Source organism: Homo sapiens, chromosome 16 (genome assembly GCF_000001405.40).
Source record: "Homo sapiens chromosome 16, GRCh38.p14 Primary Assembly".
Classification (NCBI taxonomy): domain Eukaryota; kingdom Metazoa; phylum Chordata; class Mammalia; order Primates; family Hominidae; genus Homo; species Homo sapiens.
This window is the reverse complement of record NC_000016.10, coordinates 82,550,477-82,573,857: the sequence shown is the minus strand read 5'-3', so window position 1 is coordinate 82,573,857 and position 23,381 is coordinate 82,550,477. Positions and strand designations below refer to the sequence as shown.

General features: G+C 39.9%; 1 long non-coding RNA gene across 2 annotated transcripts in view; it reads left to right on the top strand.

The window, feature by feature from the left end:
• The window catches only part of LOC101928392 (uncharacterized), a 30,379-nt gene that overhangs the window by 1,592 nt on the left and 5,406 nt on the right, over nt 1–23,381 (top strand). The window contains exon 3 of one of the 2 annotated variants that reach the window (NR_188568.1): nt 19,610–19,964. The exons of the other annotated variant lie outside the window; for it this stretch is intronic. This is a non-coding gene — a long non-coding RNA (uncharacterized LOC101928392). Of the gene's footprint in view, nt 1–19,609; nt 19,965–23,381 lie in introns of those variants that run through there. 2 annotated transcript variants of the gene reach the window in all.

Sequence of the window (23,381 nt, the reverse complement as noted above, 5' to 3'; positions counted from 1 at the left end):
TGGTGCACCCACTTCAGCATGCTTTCACCTTATTCTCTTCTGAAGATCACCCATGGACTTCTGGAGCCACTTTGCTCAAACAAACAGAGTCTAGGAGTTTATGACCCCAGCGGCATCTGTGATCAGTGACTCGTGCAGGAATATCAATGTCCAACAGCCTCAACTATGGACAGGATAAAGTCTGCTGTGCAATTTACCTCCAGAGCTCCTGCACAGGTTCAGGCTGAGGCTGGGTCTTCACTCAAAATCTCACCCTGTTGTCCTGCCCTACTCTGTTTCTTTCACTCCCATACCAATTTCCTCGGGAAACACTTTCTCTTTTTTTTAATATAATAATAAAGTTTTCATTTTAGAGTAGTTTTATGTACAGAAAAATTTGCAAAGATACTACAAGATTTCCATATACTCCACATCCAGTTTTCTCTATTATTCACATATTTCATTAATAGGATACATTTGTCACAATAATGGACTCAATATTGATAGATAATTATTAAGTAAAGGCCATACTTTATTCTGATATCCTTAATTTTCACCTAATGTTCATTTTTTGCTACAGGAGTCCATCCAGGATCCCACATGACATTTAGTTATCAAGCCTCCCTAGGCTCCTCTTCGCTATGACATTTTCCCAGGCTTTCTTCATTAGGGATAACCAGTTTTGAGGTATACTGGTCCATTATCCGGTAGGATGCTCCTCAGTTGAGATTTGTCTAATATGTTTCTCATAATTAAACTAAAGGTGTGGAATTGAGAAAAGAAGACCACAGAAATAAAGTGTCATTTTCATTACAATATGTAAAGACTATACACTCTCTAAAGTTACTCTCCTCCCCACTCTCCATACTGTACTCTTCTTAAGGAAGTCACTACTTGTAGCCCACACCTAGGGAGTAGGGAATTATAATCCACGTCCTTGCAAGTGAAGTATCTATGTACATTATTTGGAATTCTTCTGCATGGGAGATTTGTCTCCTATTTATTAATTTGTTCAATCATTTGTTTATATCAACATAAACTCATACATATTTACTATATACTTCAGGCTATACTACAATGTACACCAGTTTTTGCACAAATTGTTCTAGCTGGGGCCATTGAGAACTCTTTCAGCTGGATCCTGTGCCCCTCAACATACCACCATCATTGTGCAGTTTTTACATTTTTATTTCCATCACTTTCTTATTTTCTGGCACAAGAAGCTGTGAAGCTCATTTGTGTAATGCTATCCAAGTCCTAGAATCAGCAATTTCTTCAAGGAGCCCTAGTTACTTTTATTTGAAAATTGTATTAGAAGCCAAGATCTGCGTGTTAGATGGCTACTGGGGTGTCATTACCCCTCAAGTGACAGATCAATATTGACAGGTTATATTGGATTATCAAACCCCACCTGAGAAGCATTCTACCAGATAATGGAGCAGTATACCTCAAAACTGATCATCCAAAACATATTTTTAAAAAATATATATCAGTATGTACGTATGTATATGCATACATATATATGTACATACATGCATACATGTGTACATACTTGCATACATATGTATGCATACATATGTGTACATGTATGTATATACACTAATCTCTGTATACACATATATACACATATCTATATATTAAGCCAAGTATGTTCACCCTAATGTCTCTGACTCTAATTCACTATCTAATAAATCATTCTAGCCATCTTTCCTTGCTTGTCTATAACCTCCAGCACCAACAGTGAGAAATGATGGCTTCTGCTATCTGTCACTGATTTACATTTTCACTATCTATGAATAGAGATTTCAGAGTTGTTAACCCATACTCCTATAGGAAACAATTTTATCAACTAGGGGACAGTGCTTATATACTTAATCTTACAGACTCCACTCGTTTCAAAGTTACTTAGATCAGCAACTTTTTCTCTCTTTTTTCTCTCAGCCCCTTCAGTAAAGTTGGTTTATACATTTGTAAAACAGTTAGATTCTTTTGTTACATTCTACATTTCATCTTGGAATCTTACAACTTCCTAAATATTTCCATTTGCGTGCACCAAAGATCATTCTTTATACTATAAACTTATGAATTTTAATGAATGCATAGCGTCATATATCAACCATTAATGTACCATATAGAATAGATTCACTACTGTAAAAAACCTTTCAAACTTGACTTACACAACCCTTTCTCCTTCCCTCAAACCCCTGGCAATTGTTGATTTCTTTTTCAGTATTCTATTGGTTATTCTAGGTCTTTTGCCTTTCCTAATAAACTTTAGAATTCTTTGTCAATGTCTACAAAATATGTTGCTTGAATTTGATTGAGATTGCATTGAATATACATGTTATGTTGGGAAGAACTGACATTTTAAAAATAGTCTTCCAATCTGTGAACGCACAATATATCTCAATCTATTTAGATCTTCTTTGATTTCTTTTATCAGTGTTTTACAGTTTTCCATGTATACAGCTTGTACTTATTTTACTTACATTTAAACACTTCATTTAAAAAAATTTAATGCTATTGTAAATGAATCTTATATCTCACAACGTTACTATAGTCACTGATTAGTCCCATGACTGATTTTTCTTTTTCGTGGATTCTTTGGGATTTTCAGACAATCAGATCATCTGTGAATAAAGAGCTTTATTTTTCCCTTTCAACATGCATATCTTTTATTTCATTTTCTCGTCTTATTGCAGTAGCTATAACTTTCAGTACAATGCTGAATAAGAGTGGTAAACAACGGCGTTCTTGCCTTATTCTGTTGAAGGACAATGTCCAATTTCTTACCATTAAGTATGATATCAGCTGTAAATAATTTGTATATATGTTTTATTAGTTGAACAAGTTCCCCTCTATTCCTAGTTTGCTTAATTTTTTATTATAAATGGGTGTTGAATTTTGTCAACTGCTTTTTGTGTATCAGTTGATATTATATAATTTTGCTTCTTTAACCGATTGATATAATGGATTACAATGATTGATTTTTGAATGTTGAACCAGCCTTGCATACTTACAATAAATTCTACTTGGTTGTGGTATTTTTTTTATAGATTTTTATATTTTATTTCCTAATATTCTGTTGAGGGTTTTTGTTCATGAGAGATACTGGGTCTGTAGTTTTCTTGTAATGTCTTTATCTTGTTTTGGTATTAAGGTAGTGCTATTCTCATAGAATGTGTTAGAGAGGATTTCATTTACACCTGCTTGAATTTTCTGTAAGAAGTTCTAAAGTATTGGTAACACTTTTTTTAAATAAACCACATAAATCTAGTCTCAGGATCTGTCTCTGAGACACACAACCCAAGATGTTGCCTCATCTGTAAAATGATAATTATAATGACTTCTTCCTCATAGGATTGTTATGAGATCATACAAGTTAATGTAGCAGATGCTCTGAGCACCCCACCCAGGCCCCTTTACTAGTCAAGTGAAGTTGCTATGAACTCTGGCTGCTAACAGCTCACAGGTGCTCTCCATTTCCATCATATGCCCTAGGAGGACAAGAACTGTTTCATCCAAAGGAAACGCCATTGACCAGAGGCAGCCCACAGTTCATGACTGGCAATCTCCTTGCTTCAAGTAGCAAAGACAACTTCATGGGGCAAATTAAGGCAGGAATACCCCCATGGATCAGGCCAAGACTAGACTTTACCTGTGATTACATCTTTACTCAGCATTTCCCTTCCCTATCTTCATTCCCCTTTTCCCTCAGTTATTTCTTAAGGGCATTCTCTCAACAAATTGCATGTACTTCAATCCCTGATCAGACTTGACCTCTGGGAAACCAAAATTAGGGCAGTTAGCAAACAGAAGCGGTCCTGGGAAAAATAAACGAGAGTCTACTGTTGAGTCATTGCCAGCTGATGGACAACAAGGATTCACATGATTAGAACGATGTGGAATACTGATCACCCTGATGGGTGAGGAAAATGCAATTGCAGACTTTCACATATGGTGAGTTGAAACAGGCTACCACCAGGTGCGGTAGCTCACGCCTATAATCCCAGCACTTCGGGAGGCCGAGGCGGGCAGATCATCTAAGGTCAGGAGTTCGAGACCAGTCTGGCAAACATGGTGAAACCCCATCTCCACTAAAAATACAAAAATTAGCCAGGCATGGTGATGAGCGCCTATAATCCTAGCTCCTGGGGAGGCTGAAGCACGAGAATCACTTGAGCCCTGGAGGTGGAGGTTGCAGTGAGCCGAGATCATGCCACCGCACTCCAGCCTGGGCAACAGAATGAGACTCTGTCTCAAAAACAAAATGAAAACAAAAGCAAGCAAACAAAAAAAGAAATAGGCTATCAGTGGTAGGGAATGCACTATGTCATGCAATATCACTGATGTTTGAGAGGTGAGGGGTGGGGGGAGTTAGTATGCACAAGAACAGTAGAATTGAGCGGTTGTTGCTAAAGACAACATTTATTGAGGCTTTGATGAGAGAAAATGACAGAGAGAAAATGCATCTTCAAATCTCAGGAAGAAATAGCCTAGAATGTAACAAAAGGAATTCTTCAGATTCTCCTCCAGATTATCCTATGATGCTCTAGGAAGACATGCCACCTAAGTGGGTTTCCCCAAATGACCCTGTGGCCTTTATATGTGTGACATCAAAATTTCTAGCTGCTAAAGCAAACATATTAAAAAAGAAAATCAGTCAAGTCAGTCATTCAGCCTTATGGACCTAAACAAAAAGGATATTGAAGAATCTTTGACTTTACAGCATGTGGTTTTGTCAAAGAGATAGTTCCACTGTCACGGGGCTTACAGCTTTTCCCAATTCAATTAATTGGAACCTCACAGAAAAGCAAATGCTGTAAAATAAAAGATTCAAACATCTGGGACCTCATGCACAATCCAGTGGAAATCACTAATATGATGCAGTCACAGCTTGTGGATGGGAATTTTAAGAGCCTTTATTTCTAAGAACTCCTGCTCAGAGAGAGTGTGGCTTCTTTTTATAGCTAGTGCACAAGGCAGGTTTAGGTGGTGGTTCTTCTTAGAATGCAATTTAGTGAGGCATCCCCAGTGTATTCCTTTGATAGAAATATATTTATCAAGCACCTCTTTTGGGCCAGACACTGTGCTGGGGTACAGTGGTGAACAGAGTAGACACTGGTGAATGTCTCCTCACAGAGCTTAGAGTCTAGCTTCATTCAAAAAACTCATGGTCCAGCAAGACAGCATCATAGAGAAAAGTTGCTCCCGACCGGACATGTGACATTAAGTCAAAGGACACAGTCAGCCCAAGGTACCCTCACCCTCTTTGCTCCATCTAGCGTTCTCCATTAGCCACCTAACTAGAAGCAGGGGGCCCAGGAGCCCCGGTGAGGCAGTCTGTAGCCTCCAAGGCACTGAGCAGCAAGAAGGGAGCAGAGTGAATCTCCAGGGCAATGAAAGATAATGGCACACAGCCATGACCCGGTGATGATGAATAACTATTTTCTCAGCAAACTACTCCCCTCTAGCCATACAGGCTCCAGGATACTCTTATGGTGTCACTTGTATATAATTTTTCTCTCACTTAATTCTAAACCAAATAATCTGCTCTAATAGATAGAACTAATTTTTGTCTTCCTATATACATAGCTTCTTGGAGGGTAATGCTCATTCCCCTTCTCCCTTTATGTGACCTAGTTCTTTGGAGAAAATTAGTCCCTTTGAGAACTCTCAAATTCCTAAAAGATCCTATTTAGCCTTTTGGTATAAAAATATTGTTAGAGATAAAATTTGTAAAATCCCAATTTGACTGCCAATTTCTGTTTGGAGCCACTTTCATGTGAGAGCTCATGAGATTGTTGAAGAAAAGACAATCTAACACGGTAAATATATGCCTAAAGAGTAATGGTGCATGATCAGAATTGTTATTATTAAGTGCTCACTTGGTATCTCCCAAAAGAGGAGCTTTATCGCATAGGACAACCTTGACAGCAACACGTTCTAACAGTGAGGAGATGTGTGGTAATACAATGTCAATAATATTAACAACAATAACATTGGAGTGTATTTTTCAAGTGCTTATACAAAGTGTCTGACACCATACTCAGCCCTTTACACATATTATTTTACTTAATATTTGATTGATAGCATTAATATTCATTTTATACTCATCCCATTCAATACTCAAATTGCTTTTATTATTATAGGGTTTGTGTTTTGTACATTTTATTGGACTCAATACTTAGTTGATATTATTTCAACATTTTTATTCACATAATTTTATGCATTTTTATGCTTTTTATCTCATTTAATACTAAAATTGTTATTATTCTAGGATTTTTATACATATTATTTTATACTTTTTATTACATGTACTACTCAAATTGCTATTATCACTCCAGCTTTACAGCCTAGGGAGTATGAGCGATCACTCAGAATCACGAAGCTGATGAGTAGTGGAGCTGAGCTGAAACAGTCTGTCTCTCTCTCTCCAACACAAATAAAGTGCCTCCCTCTAACTGGAATAGCTGACGCGCAGAAATCCTCACTACATGCCAAGGCCAAGTACTGTGATAACTGTCCTTGTATGCACTTTTTGCATTTGATCTTCACTACAGCCCTATGAGGTGGGTTCTATTTTCAATCTCTATTTTGGGGATCTCAAAAATGGCACCCAGACAAGTTATGGTAATTAAGAGAGACGTCTACTATCCAGACATCTGCTAGGAATCTAATTCAGCTAAAAATAGAGGGTCTGGAGAGTTGCTACGTTGAAGACTGTTTCAACCTCTTGGTGCCGATGAACCAATAAAGCAACCTGTGACTGAGGACTAAGCCTGGGTTTGAAAAGAAAGGCGTTAGTAGTGACAGAGGGGCAGTAGGCCATAAAAAGGTAACTCTACTTTCCTGAGATTTTTAATAATAAGGGAAGAAAAAACACCAGCACTGGAAAGCTACAACAACCAAAAAAACTACTTTCCTAAGAAATTAGATTCTTTTAAAACCGTGGTATCAGAGTCCTATGGTTGTAAGTGACAGAAAGTGACTCTGGCTTCTTGAGCAAACAACAACAGAGAAGATAAAAGTACAGCTGTCTACACAGAGAAAGTATGGGCATGATGTTTGGTAGGCTAAATAGTTACACGACTTAGAAGGGCCAGAAGATTCTGAAGGAGGATTGCTGAGATGAAATCACAAACTACTCCAGGGAAAACACAAGAATTGAAGCCAGAAAGGCAGCACCATGGCCCTCAGAAGCCATCAGGTCTGAAAAGGTCCCATAATAAAGGCAGAGCATGTGATCAGAGACAAAGATGGGACATCCATGTTGACCTATAGGAATGGCTTGAGGCAAGGCAAGCCCAGAATGAATGTAGGCAACAGCCAAGGGAAAAAAAAAAAAAAAAAAAAAACAGGAATTCACAGCACATTTCTTGGAGAGGACTGAGCAGGGAACTAACATTTGTTGACCTTGGTTATTGTGAGTTTGGGTTCTGCAGTCTGACAGAGCTGACTTGGAATCCTGGTTGTGCCACAACCAAAGCTAGTGACACTGGAAGGCTCTTCTCTCAGATGTCTATGGGGCTGACTTCCTTGTTTCTTTCAAGATTTCATTGATATCATCACCTTCTCAATGAGGCCAACCCTGATCACTTCTTCCCTCCCCCAACCTATCTCCAGCACTTTCAGTCTCCCTTTCCCTGTTCTACTTTCATTTTTCCATAGCAGTAATTATCTTCTAATATATTAAATACATTTGTTATTATTGTATGTGTTGTTTATTGTTTGCCTCCACTCTCCACATATATGAGGGTAGGGACATTTGTTGGTTTTGTTCAAAGATGTATCCCAAGTGCTAGAATAGTACTTGGGATATAGTACCTGGCTTATAGTAGTGCCTAATAAATACTTGCTCAGATTTCCCCTTCTTTGAATTGATTGTTTTCTGCTACTGAGTTGAATTTCTTATATATTTTGCATATTAACCTTTTATTAGATGCATGATTTGCAAATAATTTCTCCCATTCCATAGGCTATCTCTTCACTCTGTTGACTTTTTCTTGGTTATGCAGAAGTTTCTACTTTGATGTAATCCCATTTGTCTATTTTTGCTTTTGCTGCCTGTGTTTTATGGGGGTTAGATCCAAAAGAACTAATGCCCAAACTACCATCATGGAGCTTTTTCTCCATGTTTTCTTCTAGTAGTTTTACTAGAGACAGGGTTTTTTAGTACAGATGGTGTTTCACCATCTTGGCCAGGCTGCTCTTGAACTCCTGACCTCGTGATCCACCCACCTTAGCCTCCCAAAGTGCTGGGATTACAGGCATGAGCCACCGCGCCCGGCCAAGATTAACTTTTTAATGTACGTTGAGATTATTTTTTATATGGTGTAAGGCAAGGGTCCAATTTTATTCTTTTTGATATCCAGTTTTTCTTTTTCTTTTATTTTTATTTTTTTTTATTTTTTTGAGACCCAGGCTAGAGTGCAATGGCACAATCTCAGCTCACCGCAAACTTTACCTCCCAGGTTCAAGTGATTCTCCTGCCTCAGCCTCCCAAGTAGCTGGGATTACAAACATGCACCACCATGCCTAGTTAATTTTGTATTTTCAGTAGAGATGGGGTTTTCTCCATGTTGGTCAGGCTGGTCTCAAACTCCCAACCTCAGGTGATCCTCCGGCCTTGGCCTCCCAATTTGCTGGGGTTACAGGCATGAGCCACTGCACCCAGCTGGATATCCACTTTTTCTAACAACTTTTATTGAAGAGACTGTCTTTTCCCTAGTATGTGTTCTTGGCATCTTTGTCAAAAAATCAATTGACCATTAATGTGTAGATTTATTTCTGGACTTTCTATTCTGTTCCATTGGTCTATGTGTGTATGTTTTCATGCCAGTACCATGCTGTTTTCATTACTATAGCTTTGTAGTATATTTTAAGGTCAGGTAATGTGATGCTTCAAAATTTCTTTGGCTCTTCAGGATCTTTTGTGATTCCATATAAATTTTAGAATTTTTTTTCTACTTCTGTGAAAAGAGTCATTGGAATTTTAATAGAGATTGCACTGAATCAGGAGATCAGTTTAGGTAGTATGGACATTTTAACAATATAAATTAGTTCAGTCCGTGAACACAAGATATCTTTCCATTTATTTGTGTCTAGTCCAATTTCTTGCATCAGTGTTTTATAGTTTTCAGTGTAGAGATCTTTTACCTCCTTGTTAAATTTATCTCTAAGTATTTTATTTTTTGTAGCTATTGTGAGAGTGTTTTCTTGCTTTCTTTTTTAGACAGCTCATTGTTAATGTATAGAAATAGTACTGATTTTTTTGTTGATATTGTATCATGCCACTTTGCTGAATTTTTATATTACCTCCAACAGTTTTATTTGTGGAGTCTTTAGGAGTCTTCTATATATAAGATAATGTCATCTCTAAACATAAATAATTTAAGTTCTTTCTTTCTGATTTAGCTGCTTTTTATTTCTTTTTCTTGCCTAATTACCCTGGCTAGGACTTCCACTACTATGTTGGATAGACATTTCTCAAAAGAAGACATAAAATGACCAACACATGTATGAAAAAAAAGCTCAATATCACTAATTATCATGGAAATGCAAAGTAAAACCACAGTGAGATATCACCTCACACCTGTTAGATTGGTTACTACCAAAAAGATGAAAGCTAAGTGTTGGCAAGAATATGGAAAAAAGTGAAACTCTGTTGGTGGGAATATAAATAAAGCCATTTATAGAACACAGTATGGGGTTTCCTAAAAAAAATAAAAATAGAACTACCATATGATCCAGCAGTGCACTAATGGGTATACATCGAAAGCAAATGAAACCAGAATGTCGAAGATCTATCTGCACTTCCATGTTCATTGCAGCATTGTTCACAACAGCCAAGCTATAAAACCAATCTACATGTCCATCAATGGATAAGTGGATAAAGACAATGTGGTATATATACACAATGGAATACTATTCGGCCTTAAAAAAGAAAGAAACCCTGCCATTTGTAACAACATGGATGGACCTGCAGGACATTATGCTAAGTGAATTAAACCAGGTACAAAAAGACAGAGGCTACATGATCTCACTGGTATGTGGAATCTAAAAAAGCTGAATTAATAGAAGCAGAGAATAGAAGAGTGGTTACCAGGGGCTGGGGGTGAGGGGGTAATGGACTGCAGAGACGTTGGTAAAAACATACAAAATTTCAGTTAGACAAGAGGAATACATTCAAGAATTCAAGAGATCTATCATATAACAACGCATTGTATATTTAAAAATCAGCAAATAGATTTTAAGCATTCTCACCAAAATAAATATGTGACGTAATTCATATGTTAATTCACTTGATTTAGCTATTCAACAATGTATACATATTTCAAAACATTATGTTGTACACCATGAATATATACAATTTTTGTTTGTGAGTTAAAAAATGAATAATAAATAAAATGAATACTTGCTTAAGGGACAAATGAATATATCTGTATGTTGCCTGTAAACTGGGGGCAATTTTCACTATGTTTTATGAGAATTAAATGAGATAATGAAAGTTAAAATTTCTTGGCACAGTGTCTGCAAAAAGCATTCACTAAATGTTGGTAATTATAGTTATTTTTACAGCGACTAATTATCTCATCTGATCCTCATATTAACTCTGAAAACTAATATCTTATAGATGACAAAACTGTGATCCAGGGAGATAAAGCCAACCATTAGCTTAATCTAGCACCAAAGGGTCTCCATTTGTGGGAATGGGATAGAGAAGAATGCTAGAGAAGTGAAAAAGAGGTTCACTCCTCATTTTTTCCAAGTCTTTTCCAGCACAGAATGGTTAACCCCAGGCTCACTATCACAGGGATAGAATTCCCAAAACAAGGATCACATATATGTTCAGTGAACATTTTGTTTCCTAATGTATTGATCACTAGAAATCCGTTGGGTTCACTAGAGGCATTTGTACTATAAAATTGCACTTGCCTCCTTGATAATGTTACTTCAATGACAGAGGTAAGAGCACAATGTATCTTGATTTCAACAGGGCACATAACAAGGCTCAGGGGAGGCCTTATGCACAAGACGGTGGCATGTAGTTCACTGTTAGATTTATCATCTAAATCAAGGATTGATATGGTTTGGGTCTGTGACCCCACCCAAATCTCATGTTGAATTTTAATTCCCCTTTGCCTCCTGCCACAATTGTACATTTCCTGAGGCCTCCTCAGCCATGCTTCCTGTATAGCCTGTAGAACTATGTATGAGTCAATTAAACTTCTTTTCTTCGTAAATTACCCAGTTTCAGGTAGTTCTTTATAGCAGTGTGAGAACAGACTAATACAAGCATCAGCAAAATTTTTCTGTAAAGGACCAGATAGTAAATATTTTAAACTTTACAGGCCATATGGTCTCTGTCACAACTATGACTCGATTCTGTCATTATAGAATTTCACACAATGAGGTGTGAAAGCAGCCACAGACAGTATGTACCACATAAATGTGGCTGTGTTCCAATAAAACTTTATTTACAAAAACAAGCTGCAGGCCTGATTTGACTCATAGGCCATGGTTTTCCAATTCCTGGCCTACATGGCTGATTGTACCCCTAAGTAAGCCATGGACTGAGCCGGCAAAAGTCTCCATTACAGTGATATGAGGGAAGATTGGCTACGTTTATGACTGATACAAAGCTAGAAGAAATATCCAGTATGATGGATGACAAAGTCAAGTTTTAAAATCATGCTGAGGAGCCAAAACTATTAGTCTAAATTAACTTATATTGTTATTTGATTAACAAAACATTATCACAACCAAGCTAAGCTACATTCTACCAAAAAAGTAAAGAGTAAGTTGGATTTAGCAATAATTGCTCAAAAACAACCTGGTGTTGGCAATATGCTTCACTAATTATTCATTCACTAATTCATTTATTCATTCACTCAGTCACTTAGTTTTCAACACTAAGCCTTAATTGTTTAGTATGATCTCTGCATAGTGCTGGAGTGATTTTGATGATACATAAAACAGCCTTAGTCCTTGAGGACACATAATATGGTCTATTGGACAGGACTGGTGCCTTTTATTTCATTCATTTATTCTTTTTCTTTTCCCAGCAAATCAATATTACAGCCAATAATGTGGCAAGTCCAGAATGTGGTGTGGAAATGACAAAGGCAAATGAGACTTGATCTGTACTTTTCAGGAACTCAGGAAATAGTCTAGGAAACACACACACCTATGTAAACCGATAAATTACAGTGCAGCATGGTGCAAGCTGTTTCAGAAATACTAATCAAATGTTGCGAGAATAGAGAGGATGAAACAGCTAATTCACTAGGGGTCCATGAAACCCTAATATTTGGGCTGTTTTTAGGAAGTGGATTAGGAGTTTGACTATCAGACATTAATGTATTATCCAGTGTATAAGAAATGTTTGTGCCTGGTGACAAACAACTGTGAATTCCTGTGCTTTGCTTAGCGTTCCAGTTAATAAAATTATCTGTTAGATCATATGCAATTTTTTAAAGACAATATTTTCTTGATAATTTAAATGTTGCTTACAAATTTTACTATCAACCCTTAAATACTAATTATGCCACGGATACAAATATAATCTCTTAGCTGGGGTTTCTCCAGAAGCATTCTCTGATAGGAGTTTGAGAATATAAAATATATTTGGAAGTTGTAGGGCCATCGGCAAAGGAATGGGCAATCAATTTGAGGAAAGAGAGTCAGCCCCTACGGGATCTGTTATCAAGCCAGTAGGTGACTGACAGTCCTGTGAGGAACAGATGGAAAGCCATGCCTCAGAATTATCCTGGCCAAGAAGGCAAGGGAGGTGGGGTTTCTATACCCCTACACCTGTGAGTCATTGGGTAGGGCTGCTGTCCCGGGTTGGTAACGAGGGCAGTCAATTCCAGGGCACTTCCAGCCCACCCTGTGCTCATATGTGGGTGTGTCCTGGAAGCCTGTGGGTGGCCCACGGACAAAGATGCAGTTCAGCCTCAGGGAGTCAACTGGAATGCACAAAAATAGGGATGTGAAGGCACAAGGCTAGAACATCAGCACCAGCAGGAGCTGCTATGCACGCTACATCTGAGTCTTTTGAAAATTTTAGGCACCTTCAAGAGCAGACAAAACATACAAATAATGCTTGCAAATGTACTAAAACACACTAAAACCGGTTCTAAAATAGCATTTCATTCATTGTTTCATTATATGTATACTTGAACGAACTTTTAGTTATCTAGAGTTATTGCAATGCAGTTTGTATTACTTCCTAGAGTTTTCATTATAATATTTTGACAGTTTCCTTGATTGCATGTATCATAAGCATACCCAAAGTATAAGAATAACTTCTCAGACCAGCTGAGGTTAAAAATCCCCTAAGGTAATGCAAGCCTGGCCATTAGGCTGAGTAAACCCCAAACAATACACCCTTATGATACAACTTCCTAGGTACAACTTTTCACATAGGTTTTCTTCTTGGCAGCTTTGGGATCTCACGACAAACTGTGTGCTTTGAACATCTTGTTGGGCCGGTATTACACCTCTTTGCCGCTTATGCTGTCATTTTAATTTATTGCTCTGGTAGGCTAGCATTATTAAAAATCCACAAATTTCTATTCAAATTTTATTATAATCTGTACAGCTTTCCAGAGGTTTCATCTCCTAGTAGATGAGCAATTGGGTCTGTGTACTTAGTGTGAGTCTCGAGGACTTTTGGCTAATTAATCATTTTGGAACATCTCCTTCTACTTGGTCATTTACACATGACCATCAGTGCTGACCTGTCCTGCCTGAACTTTCAACATAATCTGCTTCGTTATTTTTGGAGTTATTTGACTTATGCACATTTGTCTAGCTTATTCTTTCTTAATTACTCTGATAAAAGCAAGTACATATTTCTATGTCATATTCAAGTACTTGATTGAAGAAAATAAAAATATTCATTTGTGTGGGAAGTGCTCTAGTTTTGTAATAAAAGGACAGACCCTGGAGCCAACAGCCTAGGTTCAAATTTAGGGTCCCTCACTCACCAGCTGTATGGACTTGGAAAAGTCACTTAATCTCTATGAACTTCTATCACCTCATTTGTAAAATTGGATTATTAGAGCCTATTGGGGATTTTTTTGTTTTGTTTTATATTATATGAGTTATTTGATGTAGGGCACTTAGCATGGCACCTAGTGATATGGGTTGGCTTTGTGTCTCCACCCAAATCTCATGTAGATTTGCAGAAGAGGGGCCTGGTGGCAGGTCATTGGTTCATGGAGGCAGATTGCCCCCTTGCTATTCTTGTGATATTAAGTTCGCATGACATCTGGTTGATTAAACGTATGTAGCACCTTCACCTTCACTTTCTCTCTCTCCTGCTCAACCATGTGAAGACATGCCTGCTTCCCAATTTGCCTTCCACCATAATTGAAAGTTTCCTGAGGCCTCCCTAGCCATGCACCTCTACAGCCTGCAGTACTGTGAGCAAATTAAACCTCTTTTCTTTATAAATTACTGTATTAGTCTGTTCTCAGGTTCCTAATAAGGACATACTTGAGATGAGGTAATTTATAAAGGAAAGAGGTTTAATCGACTCAGTTCCACAGGACTAGGGAGGCCTCAGGAAACTTACAATCATGGCAGAAGGGGAAGCAAACACATCCTTTTCCACAAGGTGACAGGAGAGAGAAGAAGAAGAATCAAATGAAGGGGGAAGCCCTTTATAAAACCACCAGATCTCATGAGAACTTACTCACTATCCCATGAATAGCATAGGAGAAATTGCCCCCATGATTGAATTACATGCCCACTGGGTCTCTCCCATGACATGTAGGGATTATGGGAATTACAATTCAAGATGAGATTTGGGTGGGAACACAGCCAAACCATATCATTCTGCCCTTGGCTCCTCCCAAATCTGATGTCCTCACATTTCAAAACACAATCATGCCTTTCCAACAATCCCCTAAATTCTTAACTCATTCCATCATTAACTCAGAAGTCCAAGTCCAAAGTCTCATTTGGGACAAGGCAAGCCTCATCTGCTTATGAGCCTGTAAAATCAGAAGCAAGTTAGTTACTTACTAGATACAATGGAGGTACAGACATTGGGTAAATACACCCAAATGGGAGAAACTGGCCAAAACAAAGGGGCTACAGACCCCAGGTAAGTCTAAAATTCAATACGGGAGTCCTTAAACCTTGAAGTTCCAAAATGATCTCCTTTGAGTCCATGTCTCATATACAGGTCACGCTGACGCAAGAGGTGGGCTCCCATGGCCTTGGGCAGTTCTGCCCCTGAGGCTTTGCAGGGTGTAGCCCCCCTCCTGGCTGCTGTCACAGCTGGCATTGTCTGCAGCTTTTCCAAGTGTGCAGTGCAAGTTGTTGGTGGATCTACCATTCTGGGGCCTGGAGGACAGTGGCTTTTTTCTCACAGCTCCACTAGGCAGTGCCCCAGTGGGGACTCTGTGTGGGGGCCCCAACCCTACATCTCCTTTCCACACTGCCCTAGCAGAGGTTCTCCATGACGGCTCTGCCTCTGCAGGAGACTTCTGCCTGTACATCCAGGCATTGCCATACATCTTCTGAAATCTAGGTGGAGGTTCCCAAACTTCAGTTCTTGACTTCTGTGCACCCACAGGCCTAACACCACGTCTAAACCACCAAGGCTTGGGGCTTGCACCTTCTGAAGCAATGGCCTGACATGTACGTTGCCCCTTTCAGCCACAGCTGGAGCTAACACAGCTAGGACTCAGGGCACCATGTCCCAAGGCTACATAGAGCAGGGGGGCCCTGGGCCTGGCCTACAGAACCATTTTTCACTCCTAAGCCTGTGGGTCTGTGATGTGAGGGGCTGCTGTGAGAGTCTGTGACATACCCTGGGGACATTTTCCCCATCGTCTTGGCTATTAATATTTGGATCCTTGTTACTTATGCAAATTTCTGCAGCAAGCTTGAATTTCTCCCCAGAAAATGGGGTTTTCTTTTCTATTGCATCTTCAGTCTGCAAACTTTCCAAATTTTTATGATCTGCTTCCTCTTGAATGGTTTGCTGCTTAGAAATTTCTTCCACCAGGTACCCTAAATCATCTCTCTCAAGTTCAAAGTTCCACAGGTCTCTAAGGCAGGGGCAGAATGCTGCCAGTCTCTTTGCATAACAAGAGTGACCTTTACTCCAGTTCCCAACAAGTTCTTTATCTTTATCTGAGACCACCTCAGCCTGGACTTCGTTGTCCGTATCACTATAAGCATTTTGGCCAAAGCCATTCAACAAGTCTCTAGGAAGTTCCAAACTTTCCCACATATTCCTGTCTTCTGAGCCCTCCAAGACTCTAGGAAGTTCCCAAATTTCCCACATTTTCCTGTCATCTTCTGAGCCCTCGAAATGGTTCCAACCTCTGCCTGTTACTCAGTTCCAAAGCCACTTCCACATTTTCAAGTATCTTTATAGCAGTGCCCCATTCTCTGCAATACCAATTTACCATATTAGTCCATTCTCACATTACTAATAAAGACATGCCCAAGACTAAGTAATTTATAATATTAAAAGAAAAGAGGTTTAATTGACTCACAGTTCCACAGGGCTGGGAAGACCTCAGGAAACTTACGCTCATGGCAGAAGGGGAAGCAAACGCATCCTTCAAAACGTAGAAGGAGAGAAAAGAATGAAAATTGAGCGAAGGGGTAAGCCCCTTATAAAACCATCAGATCTCATGAGAACTCACTCACTATCATGAGAATAGCATGGGAGAAACTGCCACCATGATTCAGTTACACTCCCACTGGGTCCCTCCCATGACACATGGGGATTATGGAAACTGCAATTCAAGATTAGATTTCAGTGCGGGCACAGCAAACCAAATCAATTGCCAGCCTCAGGTAGTTACTTATAGCAATGTGAGAATGGACTAATACAGAAAATTGGTACTGGGAGGTGGAGCATTGCCATAAAGATAACTGAAAATGTGGAAATAGCTTTAGAACCGGGTAATGGGCAGAGGTTGAAACAGTTTGGAGGGCTCAGAAGAAAACAGGAAAAAGAGAGAATATTCAGAACTTCCTGGAGACCTTTAAATTGTCGTAACCAAAATGCTGATAGTGATGTGGACAATGAAGTCCAGGCTGAGGTTGTCTCAGAAGGAGATGAGAAATTTATTGGGAACTGGAGTAAAGGTCACTTCTGTTATGCATTAGTAAAGAGTTGGTGGCATTCTGCTGCTGCCCTAGAGACGTGGGGAACTTGGAACTTGAAAGAGATGATTTAGGGTACCCGGCAGAAGAAATTTCTAAGTAGCAAAAACGTTCAATATATGGCCTGGCTGCTTCTAACAGTGTGTAGTCATATACTTCAGCAAAGACATGACCTGAAACTGGAAATTATATTTAAAAGGGAAGCAGAGCATAAAAGCTCAGAAAATTTGCATCCTGGCCATGTAGCAGAAAAGAAAAACCCATTTTTGGGGGAGGAATTCAAGCTAGCTGCAAAAATTTGCATAAGTAAAGAGAAGCCAAATGTCAATAGCCAAGACAACAGGGAAAATGCCTCAAAGACATTTCAGACACCTTCATGGCAGCCCCTCTCATCATAGGCCTGGAGGCCTAGGAAGAGAGAATGGCTTCCTGGGCCAAACTCGGGGATCTGCTGCCCTCCACAATCTCAGGACACTGCTCCCTGTGTTGCAGCCACTCCAGCTCCAGCTGTAGCTAAAAGGGTCCCAAATACGTCTCAAGCCACTGCTCCAGAAAGTATAAACCATAAGGTTTGGTGGCTTCCATGTGGTATTAAGCCTGTGGGTGCACAGGGGGCAATATTTGAGGCTTAGGAGCCTGTACCTAGATTTCAGAGGATGTAGGGAAACACCTGGATGTCCAGGCAGAAGACATGGGAATGTCCATGCAGGAGACATGGAAATCCTCTACTGGAGCAATCTGGAGAGAAAACGTGGGGTTGGAGGCCCCACACAGAGTTCCCACTGGGGCACTGCCTAGTGGAGCTGTGAGAAGAGGGCCACCATCCTCCAGACCCTAGAATGGTAGATCCACTGACAGCTTGCACTATGTGCTTGGAAAAAGCAGCAGGCACTCAACACCAGCTATGAAGACAGCCGCAGAAGCTATACCCTGCAAAGCCACAGGAGCAGGGCTGCCCAAGGCCTTGGGAGCCTACCCCTTGTGCCAGTGTGACCTGGATGTGACACATGGAGTCAAAGGAGATTGTTTTGGAGTTTTAAGATTTAATGACCGCCCTGCTGGGTGTCTGACTTGCATGGGGCCTGTAGCCCCTTTGTTTCATTTGATTTCTGTTTTTTGGAAAGGGAATATTTACCCAATGCCTATACCCCCATTATAACTTGGAATCAACTAACTTGTTTTTTATTTTACAGGCTCATAGGTGGAAGGGACTCACTTTGTCTCAGATGAAACTTTGGACTTGGACTTTTGAGTTAATGCTGAAATGAGTTAAGACTGGAGACTATTGAGAAGGGATAATTGTATTTTGCAATGTGAGAAGGACATGAGACTTGGGAGGGGCCGGGGGTAGAAAGATATGGTTTGGATTTGTGTCCCTGCTCAAATCTCATGTTGAATTGTATTCCCCAATATTAGAGGAGGGGCAGGGTGGGAGGAGATTACATCATGGGAGCAGATTTCCCCCTTGCTATTTTCATGACACTGAGTGAGTTCTGATGAGATCTGGTTATTTAAAAGTGTATAGCACCTCTCCATTCACTCTCTCCCTCCTGCTCTACCATGTGAAGACATGCCTGCTTCCCCTTTTGCCTTCTGCCATGACTGAAAGTTTCCTGAGCCCTCCCCAACTATGCTACCTATACATCCTGCAGAACTGTGAGCCAATTAAACATTTTTTCTTTATAAATTACCCAGTTTCAGGAAGTTCTTTATAGCAATGTGAGAATGGCCTAATATATTTGGCATGTAGTAACTCCTAGATAAGCATTTGCCATTATTGTTTTGTTTATTCACCTGTTCACAGGTATTTGAGTGGCTTCTACCTCTTGAAATATACTTACTATAATACCACTTTAAAGGGTTGAGAGAGAAAAGGAAGGAAGGAAGGGAGGAAAGAAAGGAAGGACAGATAGATGGAAGGAAGGAAGGAAACTGAAAGAGAGTGAAAGGTAAAAAGGTGATGTTCTAGACAGCAACTAACAACCTACCCAAGTGGTGAAACTCTGAGATGCAGTGGCCCCCTAGACCCACAATGAATAGAGAACTGATCCACGCAAGCTTCATCCTTCTTGCTCGTCCCTTAGGGGCAATAATGGTTTTGAAAGGCTGCTTCCAAGATGCCCAAAGTCCTATGTGTCTGATGGCCTCCTTTTGCTGAGAGGTCTGCAACATGGGCTTTTGTGCACTCTGGATTCAGAACGTGAGTAAGTGCCCTAAAATGCAGACATGCCAACTCCCACAGAATTTCCAAGAGCTCCATTTCCAAATCCCCATTCTTTTCCTCTGGGATATTTCCAATCTGTGAATATGGAATGAGGCTTGTGATTATAAGTTCTGGTGTTGAGATCAAACAGACCTAGGTTTGCAAACTGGCTTCTGCCTTCACAATCTGTGTGTGTTTGAGGAAGTTAATTGATTTGCTTGAGCCTCAGTTTCCTTGGCAATGAAATGAGAATAATGTAAGTTCTCTCTTGGTTCTTTTCTCCAGATCTACTCTCTACACATCGACATCCTGCTCTCTTCCAGGGAGAGTAACCTACATGAACCATACCAGTGGTTCCCATCCAGGACAGTTCCCACTCACCTCCCCATGGACATTTGGAAATATCTAGAGACATTTTTGCATATCACAAAATGCAAAAAAAAAAAAAATGTACCCTGCAAAGCCACAAGAGCAGAGCAGACCAAGGCTTTGGGAGCCTACCCCTTGCATCAATGTGGCCTGGATGTGAGACATGGAGTCAAAGGTTTTCAGTGTCTGATGGGTAGGGGCTAGGGATGCTGTTAAACATGCTGCAATGCATAGGATAGTTCTCTACAATAAAGAATTATTCAATCTTAAACGTCAACAGTTCAGAGGTTGATAAACCCTGGACTACCCCAGCAGGTTTTCTTGCCCTCTGGATTCTGGTTGACTTCAGCCAGTGGGTAAGCCTAGCAGGAATCAGCAGAGGAAGGAGAGGAAGGTTAAGCTATTGATTCCCACTGCTCCCACTCCAAGGTGTTACCTTAAGCTGCCTGTGTACCCCCATCAAAGACCCCTACTCTACCCGAGGCAGGCTCTTCTCCTTCTGGGTTCTGGCAACTGCTACCTCTCCTCATGTTTTTGGCTTAGGGGTGGTAACATCTCTGTTGCTACCTTTGTAAAGAAGGTAAAAAGTGAAAACGTGATGTTCTGGACAGCAACTAACGGTCCACCCCAATGCTGAAACCCTGAGATGCAGTGACCACCTGGACCCACAATGAATAGAGATCTGATCCACCCAGGCTCCACCCTTCTTGCCCTCCCTTAGCAGCATTAATGGTTTTGAAAGGCTGCTTCCAAGATGCCCAAAGTCCTGATGGCCTCCTTCTGGGAGGTCTGCAACATGGGCTACTGTGCACCCTGGATACAGAATGTGACTAAGTGCCCTAAAATGCTGACATGCCAACTCCCACAGAATTTCCAAGAGCTCCATTTCCAAATCCCCATTCTTTTCCTTTGTAAAGAAGGTAGCAACAGAGCTGTTACCACCCCTAAGCCAACCATTTCTTTTTTGTAAAACATAGTACCCTTTCAAAGTAACCCTCCTCTAGTTATCATAATTTTACTGTATCATCTGTTTCCATGTAGGATTCTGAGTGGTATCAGTACCAACCTCATATGGCTGTTACAAGCTTTCAATGAGATAATAGATAGAAACGTTTGGCACAGAGAGAGGCCTGTTGTAAATGCCCGGTAAATCATAGTCTTCTCACAGGTCCACTTTGGGCATTGCTGTGACTCTGGGTCCTCTTGACAGATGGTCCTCCCTTTACGTGAACCACCTGAAAATTTCTTTTTTAATTTGCAGCATACTTAAATCTTAGGAGTAGATCAATTTTTTTTTTCACAGCTGTGCTCCAGTGTCCAGAGAGAGCCTTTCTGCCATAGAGCTCAAATATGGCATTAAAATATGTTGTGAGTTGGAAAGCCTTTGCAGAAATTCCAGGCCTATATCTGCTGTCAGACGGCAAGACATTATTTGTGTCCCTGCCACATAAATATGGGAGCCCTGTCCACGCTGGCCTTTTTCTCTCCAGGTTTCCTGATTCAATAGTAAAAATTGATGAGCCCAATTTTTATTCCTAGTGCCAGGAGGAAAATGGTAGGGTTATAGCCTACTGCAGATATAGTTGGACAAGATTCAAACCAGGCAAGGGAAATTGCCAGGCTTCTGCCCAAGAGAGCATGAGGCCTCGGGCAGCTTCACCGTGGGTGAAATGCAAGACCAGAGTCCAGGCATAGAGCCTGTTTGAGAAAATGGAGGAGCCTATCGGGCAACTCATTCCTTCATCCCAATAATATACATTGATATTTTAGAGTACTTCTGATGCTTTGGCATTTAAGCTTCTTCCACACTCTTACCTCCAGAATAGAGAACAATAATAATTATAGATACTATTCACATTCACATTCATGGTCTCATTTAGAACTTGCAAAAGCTCTATGAGTTAGGTGTTCTTATTGGCCCATTTTAAAGATGAGAAAACTGAGAACTGGGGAAGGTAAATCATGTACTCTAGTTTAGTGGTGAATTAGGGTTCACGTGCAGACAGTTGGACTCTAGGGTCAGACAGACCAGTATGAGCATAAAAAAGTTACTTTGCCTTGCCGACTTTCTGTCTTCTATGTCACAGAGATCATGGTACCCACATGACTGTCCCGTCTATAGCCAATACTAAGGACTGGCAGTTAGCACTATTATTAATAAGTAAGGAACTTTCAGTCTGTCATCCCTGAGTTCCAATCCTGATCTGCTTCTTAACAACCATGCCCCTAGGGCAAATCATTTAACCTACCCGGGCTCATTTTTCTTATGTGCAAAATGTCCGCCTTACAGGGTTACCAAGAGTACTCAGAAATCAATAAAAAGCTCTCCAAAGTGGAGCGCACACACTCCAAGGTGGGGCTCGTGATGCTCCACTGCGGTACAGAAAGAATTAGAATTTCTACTTGTAATTGATTTGTCTCCAAAGAAAATTAAGCTTTCATAATATTTATGTATATACAGACACTTGCCACCCACTTTTTTTTTTTTTTTTTTTTTGACATAGGGTCTCACTCTGTCACCCAGGCTTGATTGCAGTGATGCAATCATGGCTCACTGCAGCCTCTATCTCCCTGGCTCAAGTGATCCTCCTACCCCAGTCCCCTAAGTAGCTGGGACTACAGGCATGTATCACCACACCTAGTTAAATTTTGTATTTTTTATAGAGACAGGGTTTTGTCATGTTGCCCAGGCTGGTCTCAAACTCCTGAGCTCAAGGGATCTGCCCACCTCAGCCTCCCAAAGCGCTGGGATTCCAGGCATGAGCCACTGTGCCCAGGCTTATATTTGATCTGTATGTCAACTTTTTTCTTTATTTTACAATGCAAAGTAGCTGCTGACACCCCCTCATTCATTCACTCGTTTTTAGTGAATTGCCTCGTATGGCAATTTATATGTGCCTGGGTAAGTTTAAGGGTTATAATACCAAGTTTTATGACTTAAAAGACATTCTTGCTAAGAATCTATTTATTAAAGTACTAATAGATAAATATAAGTGAGCAGCCGAAAAATGATGGAACTCACCCTTCTTCCACTTCTGTTTGGTTTCTTCATGCACCACCTTAAAAGGCAAAATAAATGATGATATGATCCATGCTGACAAAACACTGCCCACCACCCATTCAAAGGAAATTATCATAAAATGGTTTGGAATATGGATTTATACCCATTCTTATTAATCAAAATTTTTTCTCTATGTCTAACTTGTACCTGGAGATACCATCTAATGATAGTACATGGCCACCACAATTAGCAACACATCAAATATTGTTTATTGTAACTTAATTTCTTCCTTTAAAAATTGCTTAAAAATTGTGTATGCTTCATAAGATACTCAAAACACACCGTTTGACATTGTGTAAGTGGCTAATCAAATGTAATTCTATCAGTGGCATATGCTTCAAATCACTTTTGTAGATGGGTGTACAATTTTAAAAGTGTAGGGACACCTAAGCTTATGTATATAATATACTAATTAACTCGAAATCTGCCATGCAGTAGCTTCTCAATAAACAGCAACTGTTATTAACAATTTCCTATTTATTGGGCATTTACTGCATATAATTTTTTTACAAATCTTAAAACACTTTTGTTATGAAAAATTTCAAACATCCAAAATATAGAATCATTTAATGACCCTCATGTACCCCAAACCCAGCTTCAGCAATCAACATCATTTTGCCAATGTTG